General features: G+C 37.0%; 2 long non-coding RNA genes across 5 annotated transcripts in view; one reads left to right on the plus strand and one right to left on the minus strand.

Annotated features, from left to right (window-relative positions):
* LOC102724861 (uncharacterized) overlaps positions 1-19,448 on the plus strand; it is a 168,179-nt gene that overhangs the window by 121,040 nt on the left and 27,691 nt on the right. Inside the window, exons 5-7 of one of the 4 annotated variants that reach the window (NR_187737.1) lie at positions 10,697-10,959; positions 14,677-14,879; positions 16,095-16,214. This is a non-coding gene — a long non-coding RNA (uncharacterized LOC102724861). Of the gene's footprint in view, positions 1-10,696; positions 10,960-14,676; positions 14,880-16,094; positions 19,381-19,448 lie in introns of those variants that run through there. The other 3 variants (NR_187734.1, NR_187736.1, NR_187735.1) reach the window with 3 other exon arrangements.
* The window catches only part of LINC00607 (long intergenic non-protein coding RNA 607), a 231,974-nt gene that overhangs the window by 55,685 nt on the left and 156,841 nt on the right, over positions 1-19,448 (minus strand). The window lies entirely within an intron of this gene.

Raw genomic sequence — 19,448 nt, forward strand, 5'->3', positions numbered from 1 at the left:
AGAGTTTTCCTCCTCTCCTTAACCTTTCATTTTCTCGCTGCATAAAGTCGCTTCTACCATCTATTGCCTCTGAATCCTTTCTTAATTCAATTACATAAGTGTCCAGAAGAAAACAAAAACACTGAGGACTGAGCTCTCTCTGATTTTCAAGCAGTGGGGAAGCAGAGAAAAACCAGTTGTTCCCATTGACTTAGAAGACACTGTAATTTCCACAAAAATTACTGTGGATTTCAACATAAGTCATTGGACAAAAGAAAACAAAACAAGTAATTGAGGCAGTATATAAGAAAAGGGAGCATTTCAGGACTCCTAAAAACTAATTTTTAAAGGCTCTCAATATCCTAGTTCATAAGGGCAATCTGACCTACTAGCATTGGAAAGAAATGCTCATCCCAAAAGACTTAAATGATAATCAGACAAAGCTTCTGTGAATGTGTAAACGTGTGATGGTGACATTTCTCAGTCTGCACATGGTCCATTTGCCAGAGATCTGAGATTTGCTGGCTCCATAGAGAGCTGCCCTAATAAATCTCAACAGTCCAGGGAGATTTGGTCCAGTGTTCCCAGGTGATTGTCTTGCCGATTCCCCGAAAGGAAACAGAAGGGTATTTAATTCTACAGCAGCGGCCCACATTCACCCACAAGTGACATTATTTTAGAAACCGATTTTAGAGATTAAAGGTGAAACAGAGAAATCCTACACTGCACAAGAAATCACTGCCAATTTTAGTGACTAGTTGCAGAAAAACACATTTAAGGAGAGTGTTTCTAACGTAGCGTTCTCTGACAGCATTCCTGCCTAGATGTAATGCTGATGTCAGGTTATTTTTATATCATACTTTAAAATCACATCTGGTAACTTAATTTCTGGGACTATGTAACCCCCTTTCATTCAGGCATGTAACTTTCCAAGTTGCGGCATTAAAGGGATATAGAAAACAATGCAAACCAAGGAAATTCTCGTTTTCACACCCAAAAAGTGTTTTACCCCCAATGTTTTCCACTTACACTGTTACACCAAAGCACTAGATGCATAAAGGTGTAAATGAAAACCTTTTGATGGTGATGACGAATTTGAGGAGATATGTGCTACAGGCCAGGAGAACTCTCTTCCTCATTATCATGCCCCAGTGGATGAAATTGCTTCCAAAACTTCTTTGAGAACTGTGTGGGAATGTGATGAAACACCTGATAACTGTCCAGCACACCCCCACCGCGAGGCAACCTGGTACACGGCTGCCTTCTGAGCTCTCTCTGTGCTTGGCACACACAGCATCCTCATAGGAGGAAAACCAGCTGTTTTTACTCATGATAACAATCCCAAGGAAACCTTGGCTTTGGAAGAGAAGGCTGGAGAGGAGTCAATGACAGCTTGCTAAGGACACCAAGATTTCCCAGATGGCTCTTTTTATTTAATGATAGTGAAATCTGGTCCCTGCACTTCTTCTTTACAGCCAAGTTGTGCTATACGCTGTTTTGGCACTGGCGATATAAAAAGAAGTTGGAGGGGAACCCTTTGAATCTGATGTCTTTTCTCTTGGATTTTTCTGTAAGCAGTGACAGGTTATACCAACAGTTGCTAGCGTCAGCAGGCGACACTTCAGATTAATGCCTTAACAGGGGTAGCAAAACCTGATAGAGAATTTGTCAGAAAACGTAAGAGGGACTGAAACAAATTATTTATTACTCCAGAATCCTGTACTAGTCAGCCACAGCAGAATAATAGGGTTTGGCCATGAAGACAGCAGGAGTGAAAAATTAAGAAGAATTCCACCCCTCCGCCCCCACCCCCCACACAATTTTCTACCACCTGGTTGACATAAAGCATAAAATGACATATTTTCCAGGGTAGAGATGCACACAAGGTAAATTCAAAGGCAGAAATTGACGTGGTATTGAGACTTCCTAGTGCCAGCTTAGGGGTGCCTGACCCTCCATTCATCTGCCTGTTCTTTTTTCTGGAAACTGGGGAGAGTGGCAAGGGCAGAGTGCATTCACACAGGACAGAAAAGAGTTGGCCAGGCTGTACATAGACGCTGGAGCATTATACAAGGCTCAGTGCTTAAGAGAAGACCTGAGTAAGCTGGCAGGGGTGGAAATACATCAAGGGCTTGCAAATTGCCTGCCTGAAGGAAAGAAACACAGACTGGTTCTATTCTCTTTACCCAGTAGTAAGTAAATCTGGCATGAGAGAGAGAGAGACAGACAGACAGACTCTAGGAAAGAAAAAAAGTGAGTTGTTTGACACAAAGGGGAGGTTCTGTATCTATGTTCCTTATCTGAATACAGTCAGAATCCGATGGCTTCAGGTTGGCCTCCCTAGGATGGCACTTTACTCCCAAGTCCTGGTCATTGTCACCAAAACGCAGAGCTCCCCCTGCCCTGCTCTTACCCAAGTCTCCCTTCTCAGTTCTGATCATCCATCCTACCTGGAGCTTTGGAGGCAGGTTGCCTTGTTAGCAGGGCCAGCTGTTTCTCCAGGTCTGGATGTTGTTCTCTTGTTTTAATCAAGGCATTGGCTATGGTCTAGAGCACACAGAGAGCATCTTCCAGAATAGCCAGCCCATATGCCTGGCTTTCCATAATCCCATCACGAAGATGATGGGATATCCTATTACTCACGCTTCTGGAAAGAAGACTCCCTGATCCACTCCACATCAGTCATGGGACCTATCAAAGGAACTTGCCTCAACTCCTCTCTTCGGTTCCTTTTCCCCTTTTCCATCTCCTACGGCAAGAGGTGCTTTCTCATTTCTGACATCTGGGATGATAACTGTGCAGCCGTGTAAATAGCTTTAGGGAAACTCTACCTCAAGATCTCCAAATCCCTCTCTTTTAGTCTTTTCACTTTTAGACCTTTTAAGCTTGCATATCACAGCAAATCATGATGAGAAAACCAAATGGAAAGGTTCCCAAAGCAAAATGAATGGAGCTATTAAAATAAGATAAATTAGGCTACATTCAACAGCAAAATTTGGCTTTAGAGACTCTGTTATCTCCACCTTAACACTACCTATCAACGCTGACACTCAAATCTTAGGCTTAACTATTATATAAACAAGGCTATACCTAAGCACCTTGGGTCAAAGTCTGTTCTGCCTGTTGAAAATGTGAATAAATGACAAATTACTCCAAAGTTTGTGGTAAGATTTCCATAGGGATTGAGGATTGATTAACAACTGCATTTTCAATTTTACTGTGAACCAGTATCTGAAAACAGTAAAACTTTTGTTTCTAGAAAATAAGCACTTTTAAAAGTGCTGAATGCATAAAGGGAGGTTTTGAAGACTCACCTCCCCCAGGACTCACATCGTCTGAACAAGTAATCAGTTTCTGCAACTACCATTTGCTCGGTCATCGTTTCTGAGTTTGGTGACAAGGGAGGTATTACCAGATGAATACAGCAGTACTCTATTACCCAATCTTTTGGGTTATTAGGGTTGGTGATAAATTGCTCACAGTAGGAGTTGTCTAGCCTCACCTATCAGTTACTGAAGTCACAGAACGGTGTGATAGGCTTCAACTCTAACTAGAGTTTCAACTTCTGCTACTACTGTGTCACTTTGATCAGGTCACTTCAGAGATTTTGTTCCTATTTATCAATAAGATGCAGAAAAAAATACTCCTCACTTTCTTACTCTACAAAAACAATGTGAAATTGTTCATGCATATACTTATGTAGCTTCCTGAAATAATCTGTGCACAAATATGTTCCTTTGCCCTATGTGCCTACCGTCTGACATCATTAAAAGATCTGACAGCCAATGTTAGAACCACACTTTACCAGCTGCATTAGCTTTTCAGTGCCTGCCATACCCATTCCTTGCTGTTTGAGAGTTGTCATGTCTGATCACCCTCCTCTCTGTTAGTTGACATCAACTCTGGCCCGTCCTTCACTTGCTAAATTTTACCTCCTCCCCATTTTTCCTCCAACCAGTCAAATGAGCTTAATGAATTTCTAGACTAGTGCTTCTCAAACTTTAGTGCGCAAAATAATAATAGAAATCTTGTTCAAGATGATTCCAGTGCCCCACCCCCAGATTTTCTGATTCAGTAGCTATGGGGAGTACCTGAGAATTTGCATTTCTAACAAGCTTCCAGGTGATGCTGATGCTGATGCTGATGATCGTTCTGAGTAGAGCTGGCCCAAATATGGAATCTACTCATGAAACTATTGAGGAATGAGAGCGGAAGGTTGGGAGGAACTGAGAGAAGGGGAGATGACTACAAGTGGGTGGTAAATATTCAGAGCCAAGAAATGACTAGTAAGAAAAAATTGAAGGTAAAGAGTTCTATTATGGAGTTTCCTGGTGTAGTGGACTGCACAGCTGATATTCTGCTGTGGTTTTCCCAGTATGGAAAAACAAATGAACACACATGTCTGACTATATAATTTGGGAACAGTATAGAAGTCCTGACTATTACTCTTTTTACTGGACATCATTGACTCCAGAATGTCCAAGAATGTCATAATGAAATAATTTTTTCGGACACTAGCTGTTTAACAAAGAAGTGAACCAGTCAGGTACAGTGCCTCACACCCATAATCTTGCATTTTGAGAAGCCGACGCAGGAGGATTGCTTGAGGCTAGGAGTTCCAGATCAGCCTAGGCAACAAAGCAAGACCTTATCTCTACAAAAAATTAGAAAAATAGCCAGGAGTGGTGGCATGCACCTATAGTCCCAGCTACTTGGGAGGCTAAGGCGGGACGATAGCTTGAGCACAGGATTTCCAGGCTGCGGTGAGCTATGATTGCACTACTGCACTCCAGCCTGGGTGACAGAGAGACACCTTGTGTCTAAAAGAAAAAAAAAAAAAGATTTAGAAAAATTTCCAAAATATAGTAGCATCCATGATCTCAGAAACAGAAGTTTTAAACAAAGACTTTAAGCAACTGTTATAACTATCTCCCATAAAGTAAAAGTGAACACTAAATAAATGTATGGAAATTTTTTTTTGTATTTTTCCAAACATTTATTTGTATGCATAAAAAAACAAATACAAATTGTAGAATTTGAAAACAATAATATCTGAAATAACTCACTGGACAGGCTCAGTAACATAATGGGGATGATGGAGGAGTCAGTGGATTAGCAGGCAAGTCAACAAAAATTATTCACTTCATCCAAATTATCCAAGAACAGAGAGCAAAAAGCTTTATAAAATAAATACAGCCTCAGGAACCATTGGGGAAAATATCTAATGTTTGTGTCACTAGAGTCATAATTAGAAAAGAGAAAAGTATTAGTGTAGAAAAATATTGCATAAACCATGATAGAAACTTCCCAAATATGGTGAAAGGCATACATTCACAGATTCAAGAAGCCCAGCAAACCCCAAACAAGATAAACTCATAGAAAACCATGTCCAGATACATCAAATTTAAACTTTTGGGAACTGAAGATAAAGAAAAACGTGTGAAAGCCACCAGAAAGGGAAAACATGACACATTACATATGGGGAAAAACAATTTGAAAGATGGCTGATTTCTCATTAGACACTTTAGAGGCCAGAGGAGAGTGTCACAACATTTTTAAAGTGTCAGGAAAAAAGGGACTGTCAGTTCTGAAATTATCATTCAGGAATAAAGGCAAAATAATTGCCTTCTCAGATGAAGGAAAACTAGGAGACTTCATTATCAGCAGGCGTGTTTAAAAAAATGCTAAAGGAAGCTTTTCAAGGTGGAGAAAAGTGATAACAGAGGGAAACTTGAAACTTCATAAATGAAATAAAAGCATAATAAAGGGTAAATATCTTGAGAAATAGACTGATTTTCTGCTTTTAAGTATTTAAACATGTATGATTATGGAAAACAAAAATTATAACATTATTTCACAGGGTTCTCAATGTATGTAGATGTAAGATATATAAAAACTATAAAATAAAGAAGGGAGATTAAAGAACTCAATATGCTTGCAAGGTTTCTACATTTTCCTTGAAGTGGTAAAATATTAATTCTAAATAGACTTTGGAAAGTTAGGTCTGTATATTGTAATTCTTTGAACAACCACTGAACCATTGAAAAGTAACACAGTGATATAGTCAAAAGGCCAATTAATAAATTGGAATTAAGTACTGAAAAATATTCATGTAATCCAAAAGAAGTCAGAAAGGAGGAAACAGAAGAAAACAGAGAGGATAAGCAAAACACAAATAATCATAGATTAGACTTACATTCAACCATATCAATAAACACATTAAATGTAAATGGTTTAAACACCAGTTAAAAGACACAAATTATCTTATTGGATAAAAAAGAGACCAAACTATATGCTATCTATCAGAAACCAATTTTTAGCATAATGATACAAATATAAGTTAAAAGTAAAAGGATGGAAAAGGATATACAATGTGAATGCTAATCAAAAGAAAGCTTGAGGAGCTATGTTAATATCAAAGTAAACTATAGAATAAGGAATATTTCTAGAGATAAAGAGGAACATAAAATAATGATAAAATGGTTAACTCACCAAGAAGATACCAGCTCTAAATGTGTATGTACCTACAAATAGAGCTTCAAAATACATAAAACAAAAGTGGATAGAATTGTAAGGAGAAATTAGCACATCCACAATTATAGTTGGAGACTTCAACTCAGCAGTCAATAGAACATTTTACAGACATAAAATTAGTAAATATAGATTTATGGAAGACCCAACACTATTGACCAACTTGACCTGAATCGCATTTAACCAATCTCTGTACCCAACTATAGCAAGATATATATATGTTTTATAAATGAATTATTCTTTAAGATAAACCATATCCTGGACCTCTGTAAAAAAAAAAATCTTTAAAATTTGAAAAATTTTAAATCATTTAAATTATGTTCTCTGACCACAACCAAAGTAAACTAGAAATAAAACAAAAAGCTATCTGTAAAATTCCTGAATATTTAGAAATTTAACCTATGCCTCAAAATGGAAGTCTCAATGGAAATTAGTAAATATTTTGAACAAAATAAAATGGTAAAATATAAAACTAAAATGTTTAAAAGAAATACAAGAGACTTTGAGTCAGGTGAAAAGTCCTTAAGTACAACGCCAAAAGCACAATTTATCACAGAAAAAAATTAATAAATGATCTTCACTTTATCATTAATCCATGCTGATTGTAGCTCTAATTCAGGGTTTCTCAACCTTAGAATTATTGACATTTTGGACCAGATACTTCTTTGTTGTGAAGGGTCGTCCTGTGTATCATAGGAAATGTAATAGCAACCTTGGCCTCCACCCACACAATCACGAGGTGCCAGTAATATTTCTTGCCCAATCCCCCCCGAATAGTAACAACCAAAAATGTCTCTAGATATTGCCAGTTTTCCTCTGGGGAAGGTAAAATCATCCCCCATCCCCTGGGATAAAAACTATTGCTGTCATTTTTTTCATTTTAACTGCTAAATATCTTTTCTTTTTCCTCTGGAAGGAATTTGGGTTGTTAAAAAATTTTCCTATTGCAGACAATCCTATATAAATCTTTATTCGTGTGTGTGTCTGTGTGTGTGTGTGTGTGTGTGTGTGTGTGTAGTGTGAATACATGAGAATTTCTATTATGGAGTATATACCTCACAATAAAATTGTTGGGCCATAAAAATGTGCATCTTTTATTTTGGTAGATAGCACCATATTTCTTTTCAAAGTGGTTGCACCAATTATGTTCCTTCCAGCAGATGAGGAGTGTCCACTACTTCACCTACCTGCCACATTTTGTATCATCGAATATGGCAGATGCATGAAATAGCATCTCATTTGTATTTTTCTGATTTTTAGTAAGCTGAGAATATTTTTGTGTGTTTATTGTCTATTTGACTTTCCTTTTCAGTGAATTACCTGTTGATGTCCTTTTAAATTTTTTTTCTTATTGAAGGTAGTTCTTATATTCTGGACACTAATTTTTTGTTAATTACATGCATTGCAAATATACCTTCAAAGTCTGTGGATTGTCTTTATCTTTTATTTATACAGTCTTTCAATGTACAAAAATTTAAATTCTTTATATTATCCGCTCTGTTTTCTTTGAGTTTTTTATGTTTTCTTTAAAAATTCACTTTATTTAGGGTTATAAACATATTCTCTAATATTTCCCTCTAGAAATTTTAAAGCTTTGATTTTTGCATTTAATATACTTGTAATTGAATTCTATGAATAGAAAATATTCAATTTTATTGTTTCATATAGACAACCAATTGTTCTAGTATCATACATTGCATTGTATATACTTTACCACTAGTCAGCAATGCCACCCCTGTCGTTTAATTCTACTCTATTCTATTCATGTATTTGTCTCTTCTATGGCATTACCAGACCATTTTAATTGCTGAAATTGTATAATACATTTTCATTTAAGTTATTGCAAGTCCCTCTAATATGCTTCTTCTTCTTTCCTTATACCCTTGTTATTTTTATATGTATTTTTAAATTGGGTTATCACATACTCTCCACAGAATTTTTAAATGGAGTGATTGAATTTGTAGGTTAATTTGGGAAAATACAACATGTATATAATATGGTGTGTTCCCATAAATATTTTTTAAATCTCTATTTACTGAAGTGTTTGTAATTGCCTTTAAATAGAGTTGTGTAAGTTTATTTATAAATCTCTAGCCCAACTTGTGTTAGGTTTGTTCCTAAGGTTTTGGGATTTTTGAAGCTATGGTAATGTCATTTAAAAAAATTAAATGTTCACTCTTTGCCACTAGTATAAAGGATAGCAATGTGGGGTGTTTTTTTTTTTTTTGAGATTATATCCTGTAATCATGTTGCATTCTGCAATTAATTCTAATAATTTGTCAGTAGAGCTTTGTGGATTTTTGGTATGTAAGACTGGTAGTTTTATTTCTTTCTTCCCATTACTTATAACTAGTTTTTCTTGCCTTTCTCTAATGACTATGACCTCTGAATAATGTATAATGGAAGCTTTGATAACAGGCATCCTTGTCTTATTTCTGAATTTAAGGATTTAATTTTCCTATATTTTATTATTAAATTTTACCTTTCCATAGGAGAGGTACCCTTCCTCAAGTAAGGAACTCAGCCATACTTCAAGTTAACTAATTAATTTTACCCAGGGTATAAAATAAAATTTTCAATATCTTTATAATACATCTCTCTCCACAGGCTTGTAAGTAGGTCTGTTTTTCTCTTAGATAGTATCAGCCCAGAATGCTAACCTCATTTGGAGGAAGAAAACAGTGCATAAGATATGACAGAATTAGAAGATGGGGTAGCTCAGGGTTGTTTATTGATCTCTCTCTCTCTGTCTCTCTCTCTCTCTCTGTAGAGACGGGGTCTCACTCTGTTACCCAGGCTAGAATATAGTGGCACAATTATAGCTCAGAGTAACCTCAAACTCCTGGCCTCAGATGACCCTCCTCAGCCTCCCAAATAGCTAGGTCTACAAGTGTGCACCACCATGCCTGGCTAATTTTTTTAATATTATTTTTTGTAGAGTCAGAGTCTCCCTATGTTGCCCAGGCTAGTTTCGAACTCCTGGCCTCAAGTGATCCTCCTGCCTCAGCCTCCCAAAGTGCTGGCATCACAGGTGTGAGTCACCACACCTGGCCTCATATCTCTTTTTAAAAAATAATGCTCTAAACAGATAAAGCCATTATAGCCTGCTGTCTATTTGCAGAACAGGTTAAAAATATTTAAAAGAACATTGGCATAACACTCAACTTGTTTAAAAATCTATAATAACTACGGTTTAAATGAAAATAAAAACAGCTAAGTATCAGTCTCAATTTTCTATCTATGGTTCACAAGCCTAGTTATACATTAAATCATCTTAGGAGTTTTAAAAAATATTCATGTCAAGATCCCACTCTAATTTAATTGTTAGCCCTAAGGTGGGTTCCATTCTCTGATTCTCTCTCTCTCTCTCTCACTGCATAATAACCTTTGTTTATACAATGTCTTGATAGTACCACGTCTTTCTTTTTCCACTCCTAAAATGGCCATTAAACTCAATTATAGAAAGATTATTTTACTAACAATTGAGCAAGGGGCATGTTCAGAGCAAACCCTTTTTTTCCCAAAAAGGCCCATACAAAAATATGTGTATAACTAATGATAAATCCATCACTAGAAAAACATGTAGCTTCATTTCTTTACATCAGAAAACCCCAAGCAGTAGAGCCTGCTTGCTGATGAAGTGGATCCTCAGTAGAACCAGGCACCCACCTCCATGGCTGACTTTCATTGGCTCTGCGCAGCGCTTTATCAATAGCACCCTTTCTGTTCCTATCTCCTCCCCTCTCCTATCCTGCTCTACCTCCATCCAGTGACTCAAGTGTTAAGGGAAATTAGAAGGAGCATGTTTCCAAAAAGGGTAAAAGCAGTAAATTTATATGAAAGACAGCATGTCATCAGCATTGCCAAAAAAAAAAAAAAACAAAAAAAAACCTCAAAATAGCAGATGGGTTGGCCAAAATAAAAAATATACCTAATTGTTGGGTGTCATGTAAAACTTCCGGAATGTCTGAGGTTTTCTTATCCCTGCCTTTTCGAAATTTTGGTTTCCTGCAGGGTATTTCTCTTGCTTTTCAGCATTCTCATAACTTCCTTTGGCAACTTCCAGATTTCTTTTTTAATTATGTGTGTGTGTGTGTGTATGTGTGTGTGTGTGTGTGTGTGTGTGTGTGTATATATGTGTATATATATATATATGACTTGCAGTGACTGCTTTCCCTTTTCACAGAAACAAGTCAACATTTTGATTTCAAACATCAAAAAAGGTGTCCAGAAATCTCAAGAATTTGAGACATCCTAAGGAACTTTAAGTGCTGTGAGCCACAAGTAACATCAAGAAAAGACAGGGATGAAGAACCGCACTTACAAGCTAAGTAAGATTAAACCCAGCATGGAGATATATGAATTAATATGAACTCTGAGAAAGAAATTGGTCAGCTAAAAAATATATGGCTTTCCTGAATAGACAAAAGAACAAAGATTTTCCCTTTGGTATGTAACCTGTTTCATTTAGTCACTTATATTTTCTCTGAGTGTGAGATAAATGTTATGAAAAAATTTGTTTTGATTATGCAAGAGAGGATTGTTTACCTAGTCAGGTCAAAACTGGAAAAAAGAACTGCTGCTTCATTATACATCCCCCACAACTTCATAGAAAGTGATTTTAAAAAGAGGAAAACCAAAGATTTATAGAGTTGGGTGCCCATCTTCATGGCTGACTTTCATTGGATATATATATAAAATAAGTATGAACATTAAAGTTCATCTAGCACCCCCCCCAAAAAAAAACTGGATAGACATTTTTCAAAAGAAGACATACAATGGCCAACAGGTATATGAAAAAATGCTCAACATCACTGCTGATCAGAAAAATGCAAATTAAAACACAATGAAATATTATCTCACACCTGTTAGAATGGCTATTATCAGAATGATGAATGATAACAAGTGCTAGTGAAACTGTGAAAAAAAAAAGGAAACCCTGTATATTGTTGGTGGGAATGTAAATTACTACAGCTGTTATTAAAAACTGTATTAGGGTTCCTCAAAAAATTAAAATTAGAACTACCATATGACCCAGCAATTCCATTTCTGATTATATATCCAAAGGAAATGAAAACAATATGTCAGAGAGATACCTGCTCTTCCAAGTTCATTGCAGAGCTATTCACAATAGCTAAGATTTTGTATCAACCTAAGTGTCCATCAACAAATAAATGGATAAAGAAAATGTGGTATTTAAATGAGAATTAATAAGACCTAGTATTTGATAGTACAACAGGGTGACTATAGTAAAAAATAATTTAGTTGTACATTTAAAAATAACTAAAAGAGTATAATTAGATTGTTTATAACACAAAGGCTTGAGGTAATGGATACTCCATTTACCCTGATGTGATCACTATGCATTGCATTCCTGTATCAAAATATCTCATATACCCCATAAATAAACACACCTACTCTACTATGTACACACAAAAATTAAAAATTAAAAGAATATGCCCTATTTAAAAAAAAGAAAGAAAACGTAGTATTTAGACATAATGGAATATGACTCAGCCTTGAAAAAGAAGGAAACCTGTTATTTGTGACAACATGTGAACTTGAAAGACACTGTGCTAAGTGAAATAAGCTGGACACAGAAAGACAAGGTTGAATGATATCATTTATATGTGGAATCTAACAAGTAGGATACATAAAAGCAGAAAGTATAATGTGTTTTCCAGGGGTAGGGAGGTCAGGGAGAGAATAGGGAGATGTTGGTCAAAGGGTACAAATCAATGAGACAGGAAGAATAAGTTCTAGAGGTCTGCTGTACAGCACAGTGCCTATGGCTAATAACAGTATATTGCTTACTTGAAAAATTGCTAACAGAGTATATTTTCAATGTTCTTACCTCAAAAAAATAAGTATGTGAGGTGATGCATATGTTAATTAACTTGATTTATTCATTCTACTATATATATACATATCTCTCTCTCAACACATCATTTGTATACCATACATACATAGAATTTTTTGTCAATTAAATAAATTATTTAAAAAAATAAAATAAAGTTCATCTAGCTGGGTGTTTCCCAAAGTTGATTTTAAAAAATAAATAAATATGTTTATGCAGGTATGGCAAAAAGTGAAATAATGTGAATTATTCAAGTTCAGAGAGGTCAGGTGACTTTCCTGGGATCACACAGAAGACTCCCATCTCCTGCAACTCAGTCTGGTTTTCTTTCTGTCGCATTACCTGCTTAACAATTGTTCTTTAAAATGTTGTGTACAGTAGATATTATTTACATCCTTAGTGTTTTTATGTTTCCCAATTACAATGTGGGTAATTCAATTCTTTCATCGTTAATAGAAATTAGATAAGAAGAAGAATCTGTAAATTTCTGAATTCAATTTTATAAAGTACATTAGAAATATTAAATATCTAGAATTGTAGCATTTTGAAATTATGTAAAAACATAATTATTACAAAATCATGAATGGAAATTCAGGTCCTTTACATTTTGTGGGCTATAAATATTCAGAAAAATTTTAGAAGTTGATGTTCCTCGATGAGAACACATGGACACCTGGGAGGGGAACAACACACACTGGGGTCTGACGGCGGGGGCGGGGGAGGGAGAGCATCAGGAAGAACAGCTAAGGGATGCTGGGCTTAATACCTAGGGGATGAGTTGATCTGTGCAGCAAACCACCATGCCCCACGTTTACCTACGTAACAAACCTGCACATCCCTCACATGTATCTCGGAACTTAAAATGAAAATTGATTAAAAAAAAAGAATAAAAGTAGAGATGAAAGAAATGGATGTTCCTAAAAGAAACAACAGATACCTTTTAAAATACACTTTCAGTATAACTAAGTACCTTTTCAAGTTGGTTAAAAAATTCTAAAAGTAGAGTAGTCAAGTCCTTAAGTAACATGAAGATCCTATCTACAGTTTAAATAAATGTTCAGTCATCCCAACAGGAACAAATCATAAAGAAAATGTAAAGAATATATCAAATTGGCTAAATGCATTCTATATTCGTAGTGTACTCACTGAAGCATTGTTCGTGGGTTTTTTTTTTCTGATTCTTACCAAGCCTACATATTTCTTTTTAATTTTTTCTTTTTATGTTTCCCAAGTTTACAGTTCACATAAAATACCCACTGAAGCAGAGAGAAAAGTGAAACAAATATTTCACAGCTCTTTGGGGATTTGAATGGGTTTTTACAATAAAACCTTGATTACTCAAAGAGCACAGGAGTGCCTGAAACCTGATAGAAGGAACAGAGAGCAGGCAGTTCTAAAGGTGCCAAGAGAGACTCAGAACCTTGTGGAGTTGATGCACTGGCCCTTCAACCCTGGAACCCAGGCCAAGCACCAAACCAGGAAGGGTCCAAACAGCCCTGAACATGGCTATCGTGGCCAAACAAACCAAAAAAAAAAAAGTCACTTGGAAAAGATGTGCAAGGTTGTGGTTTCCTGATAAATTAAGATGACACAGGCAGTACCACAGGGCTTCCTTCATTACATTATTGTGAAATCTGGACTCAAATAGAATGAGGCAAACCCACAAGTTAAAGTGTTTTTAAAGTGGCTCAATAATCACTTTGAAAACAGAACACCCTTTCAGTCAGCATGACTGGAACTTTGATCAACAAATCCCCAAGAGCCACAACCCGTCTTTTGTGAACAAGTAGTATCAAGGTGGGGGTGGGCTTGGAGTGCACTGGATGCTTTTCTTCTTTCATCATGAAACCTGGTGGTTTTGTGTCATGTGATATGTTTTTCAGAGATTCGGCAGGAAGCTTGCACCGAGTGAAGGATTTATAAAGATTATAGGAGATAACACAAAGCTATTTTATCTCTTTAAAAAAAATCAAAGGTATTAAATTTTTTTCTACTTCATTTTTGTTTCCTCATTTAAAAATTAGCTGCCACAAATATTATCCCCCATCTGGGCACAAGGTCAGTTGGCATACAATTTTCTTCTTAATTTTCATTTTCTGGATTCCTTGATGACCTGATTTTGTACAAATTCATGCTGCAGAGATAAGGATTGATTGGCTACAAATCAAGGATCTCTGCAGAATGGGAATGAGAGACAAAGGAAGAGGAAGAGGACGGACACCACAAACCATCTTATCTTTTCAAAATGTGATTGGTGCATTTCCAACATTGGCTTACCTTTCCTTATGCTGTCCATAAATTTTGTGCAGGTGTAAGCTCATCCTACACATGTCATTTGGACCAGACCAAGGCTGCTGTCATGGAGGACCCACACCACAGCTTGGGAACCATTCATCTACCAGAGGGTCACATGACTTCAAATGACTCTTCTAGGGGCCACCTGCCATGATAGGGTACCAGCTCTTCCTCTGAATTCCCAATCCATTTCTTGAGAACTACTGTTTCTAATAAGGTACTGTTTCTAATACCTTTCCAACAATGGTTTATTCATTTATCCATACATTTAAAATACAGATTTTTTTTAGCATCTGCCATGTTTAAGATCCTCCTCTAGCACTAGGAATACATTATTGAATAGAACAAAGTCCCTGATTTCATGGTGTTTACATTTCAAGGGAGAACTATTCCTTCTTAGAACAGAACACCGTACAAAGTTGTAACATAGTAAGTGAAAGTGCTCTGGCCAAGGCTGAGACCACAGTCTACCACGAGCTCCTTGCATTGTGAAGAATGAATATTTCTTAAGCACTTAACTGTGTGCCAGGCATTGTGTAAAGTCCTAATATACATTTGCTTCCTCATCGGGTGGGAAGTTGAGCAGGAGGCTTTCTAAAGTGTCTATTAAAACCCAAGTTATTTGGTTGGCCACTTTAGTCTGTGGTGGATTATCTGCACATTTTTGCCTAGAGATCACTTAATCTGTGGCATAGAAAAACTATATTCAATTGGCCGTGTGTAGTGGCTTAACGCCTGTAATCCCAGCACATTGGGAGGCCGAGGCAGGTGGATCACGAGGTCAGGAGTTTGAGACTAGCCTGGCCAACATGGTGAAACCCCGCCTCTACTAAAAATACAAAAATTAGTGGAGTGCGGTGGTAGGTGCCTATAATCCCAGCTACTTGGGAGGCTGAGGCAGGAGAATCACTGGAACCCGGGAGACGGAGGTTGCAGTGAGTGGAGATCGTGCCACTGCACTCTAGCCTGGGCAACAGAGTAAGACTCCGTCTCAAAAAGAAAAGAAAAGAAAAGAAAAGAAAAGAAAAGAAAAGAAAAGAAAAGAAAAAAAAGAAAAGAAAAGAAAAGAAAAGAAACGAACAACTCTATATTCAATAGATCTCTTGAAATAACTTGAATTTGGTGGGGGATGAGGAGGGGTTTCTAATAAGACATGTAATGTAGTAGAAAGATCTAGGCCTACGTTCAAATCTCATTTTTTCCACTAACTGGAACTTCTTTAGTAAGTTGGGGTTAATTCATTTCTCCCAGTATTATTGTAAGGATTACATTGATTTTTATTTTACAAATTTTTATGAGGTCCCTGTGGTGTACTAGGCACTGACCTTGCTACTGACGATATAACAACAATCATCAAGACATATAAAAGTCACTGCTCCATGAGGTGATCTAACACCTCGCCCTTTTGCTTCCTTTGTCTTCCTTTTTTTAGAGGGGAAGAAGGTCATGTGGGAATCAGTTAAATCACGTGTGGATAGAAGACAAGTTCCAGCTTTGTGGGAAATCCTGTAGCCTTCGCCAGGTACACCCTGACAATCTCAGAACTGATCAGGTAAAGCCAGCTCTGAGTTAGACCCTTCTGTGGCCTGTCAGGGAGAGCAGAGAGGGATATGCAGAATCCAGGCAAACCTGTTGTCTGGACTGGCAGAAATGGGAAGAAGCATTTCCAGAACACAGCTGAACAACCAAACCATCATCTATGTTCAAAGGGCTTCTTCTTAAATGCATTTCAAATCGATTTGCAAATTTTAAACAATGTGTCTTTAGTTTAAAAGCTCTAAATATTAAAAAATCAGTAAATTCTCCTTTAGCACTGCCCCACCCTCTGCCATTCTTCTCTTTCTCAGCACAATGGCATTACTGTTCTAACCACTCAATATTCAATATCTTATGTACTTTTAAGGAAATCTTAGGCACAAGAAAAAAGTTTATTTGTGAGGTGAGTTAACTCTTGTTTAAAAAAAAAATGGGTTGGCTCATATATAAACCTTACAAAAGGTTAATGCATAAAACACAAATATAGTTCAATTTCCTTTTTATGTGATTAGAGAAACTTACCTACAGAGTTGCCTATGACACCTACAAAAGAGGTGATGATAAGAATGATGCAGTTCACACTGTTCAATGGTTCCTTAAATTAATGAACACCAGATATGTTAGTGTGATTTCTTCTTCCTCTTTCAAGTTCTTTATTTACCACTCCATGCCCTCCAGGTTAGCTGAGTTTAGTGCTCTGGGATAATGACTAGTTGAATTCGCTGCAATTTTTTAAATATGCCTAGCATAGGGGCCAAAGGAAAACTTCTCTTCCACTCTCTGAAGGTTCACTGAAAATCAACTGGCAAAAGGCAGATCAGTAGGAGAAATGGCATACAAATTACTAGCATCCACGAGGGAGAATCACAGAGTGATTGCCTCATACCCCGTGGGGTAGAGGTGTTTATATACCCTACATCTTAGGGGAAAAGGAAATGGAGATGTATAGGTGACTTTATAGGGACAGAAAACAATTTTTAGGGGAATTCACTGGGCTTGAAGAACATACAATGGCCAGAGACAAAGTCTGTTGGGCCTGCAGAGTGGACAATGGTTTGTGACAAAAGTCTGTCCAGGTGTGTTGACAGATTTCAGTCTTCCTTCCTGCGATAGGAGATGAGTTAATGGAAACTCAGGGAAAACTTAGGGTAATTGTCTTCTTCTTTGATGGGTCCAGACTTTTCGGCAGATAAGGAAACATCAGAGAACAAATTTATCCTGTGCTTTGGGAGATAGGAAGGGGAGAAGGTCAGGGAGACCTTGAGGCTCCTTCAGTTCAGCATGTCAAAGTGCCATATCTTAGAGTATCAGTTTCTGAGCCCCAACACTAGAAACATGAACAAGTTAACAATTCAGTTAAAAGGGAGAGAGAGATGAACTGAGTGAAGTGCATTGTAATCCTTCCTGAGGTTAAGCTAGTGATAGTCGGCCTCTCAGGCGATTATGTTCACCCTCCTAGTGTCAGGGAGACATCTTTACTGCTTTTCCTAAGAGAACTTAAGAGATACTGGGGCAGGGCAGGGAATTGGAAGCAGATAGCAATGTGGACAATCTGACTTTGTTGGCAAATGACTAACCTGAATACAATGAAGTTAAACATCTGCAGATAGTTTCTGGTTGTTGGCTTTTATCAGTTTTTATATCCATGTGGAGTGGTGGGGCTGTGATTAAGAAAGCTGGTGGACTGTGAATTACATTTTTCACCTTTTAGTTTAAGGATTGAATATGACACATTTGGGTGGAAGAGCACACCAGTTGGATTTTACTTTTTTTTTTAATGTGACTGAGAGAAAGTGAATCAGCTGTATTTTGTATTTATTCAGGTTTCATAGTGCTGATTCAGGGACAAGTGTCTTTGTTTTATATCAAATTCTGGGTCTTTTTCAGCAGAAATGAATCAAAGAGAATCAGAGAAATGTGAGTTGACTTTTTTAAAGGAAACAGGAGGATCTGGTGTCAGAGCTTTTAGTCCAGAGTTTCACATTGATGATAGCTGTAGCTGCTTTCTAGAATTCTCAGGAATTAATTACAACCAGATTTGTTTTTGTGGCATTCACATCCCATCTATTTGTCAATTGCTCATCCACTCATCCAACTTCTCCATCTCCATGGAAATCATTTCTTTTTTCCAAGGAAAATCACACAGGAAAACAATAGACTCAACTTGGAAACATCAAAACAGTCAAAGCAGTCTTTCTGAGAACAAGGCCTATATCCCTCAGCTTGATCTGTTTCCCTGAAAACACCCTGAATGATGTTTTTCTTATGTTGAGCTCTTCAAGATCCATATTCTTAGACACTGGGCCAAAAATAATGGGCTTGCCTTTCCCTGTGAGGGACCTTGCCCTATGACCTAAGCTGCCCACACAACCACTGAGCAATAATCCTGTTGGCCTCTTAGAGGGAAATGATGAAAACAAGAAATTGTCCCTCCAACTTGAGGGTTTTTTTCTCCATAAGTCTTAAAATTAATGAGAGCAGTAAGAAAGCATCGTGGCTTCAGTATAAATATAAAAACTATTAATTGTAACAATAGAGAAGAAGTCATAATTCATAATCATTTCCATCTTTCATGTTGAATATTTCAGGGTTTGGAAAAAAATATTTGCATTGATTTTTTTCCCCGAAGCCTAAATTATTCACAAGTATTATGTATCACTGAATTAACAGTAGTCAGAATTGTGTGTTCAACATAAATACCGAAGTATATAACTTTGAATATTTCCACAAATACAATGGATAAAAAGGTAATTTTGTTCACATGAGTCAATGAATTTCGGAAGTAGAGGTGGCAACTCAAACAAACTCTACGCTCCAAACCCACCCCTTTGTGCTTCTTCAAGAATCAAGAATTAAGGCTACAATTCTTAATACCTACATGTTGTTTGGCCAGTTACTTAACTTTTGTTTCTTAGTTTTCTCATCTGTAAAATGGAGCTACTTGTTTCTACTGCATGGAAATATTATGAGAACTACAAGTATTAGAACAATGCCTGCAGTATAGCAAGAACTCAACGTTAGCTATCATGTTTATTTAAACTTCCTAATTCACTTTGTAACTTCTGTGCCTAAGGTGAAGATCCAGGAATACTTAAAGAAATCTCTGAAACAGTTTCTTCTTCGTTTTTTTTTTTTTTTTTGAGATGGAGTTTCACTCTTGTTGCAGTGGCACCATCTCAGCTCACTGCAACCTCCGCCTCCCAGTTTCAAGCGATTCTCCTGCCTCAGCCTCCCGAGTGGCTGGGATTAC

The sequence above is a fragment of the Homo sapiens genome, chromosome 2 (assembly GCF_000001405.40).
Source record: "Homo sapiens chromosome 2, GRCh38.p14 Primary Assembly".
Classification (NCBI taxonomy): Eukaryota; Metazoa; Chordata; class Mammalia; order Primates; family Hominidae; genus Homo; species Homo sapiens.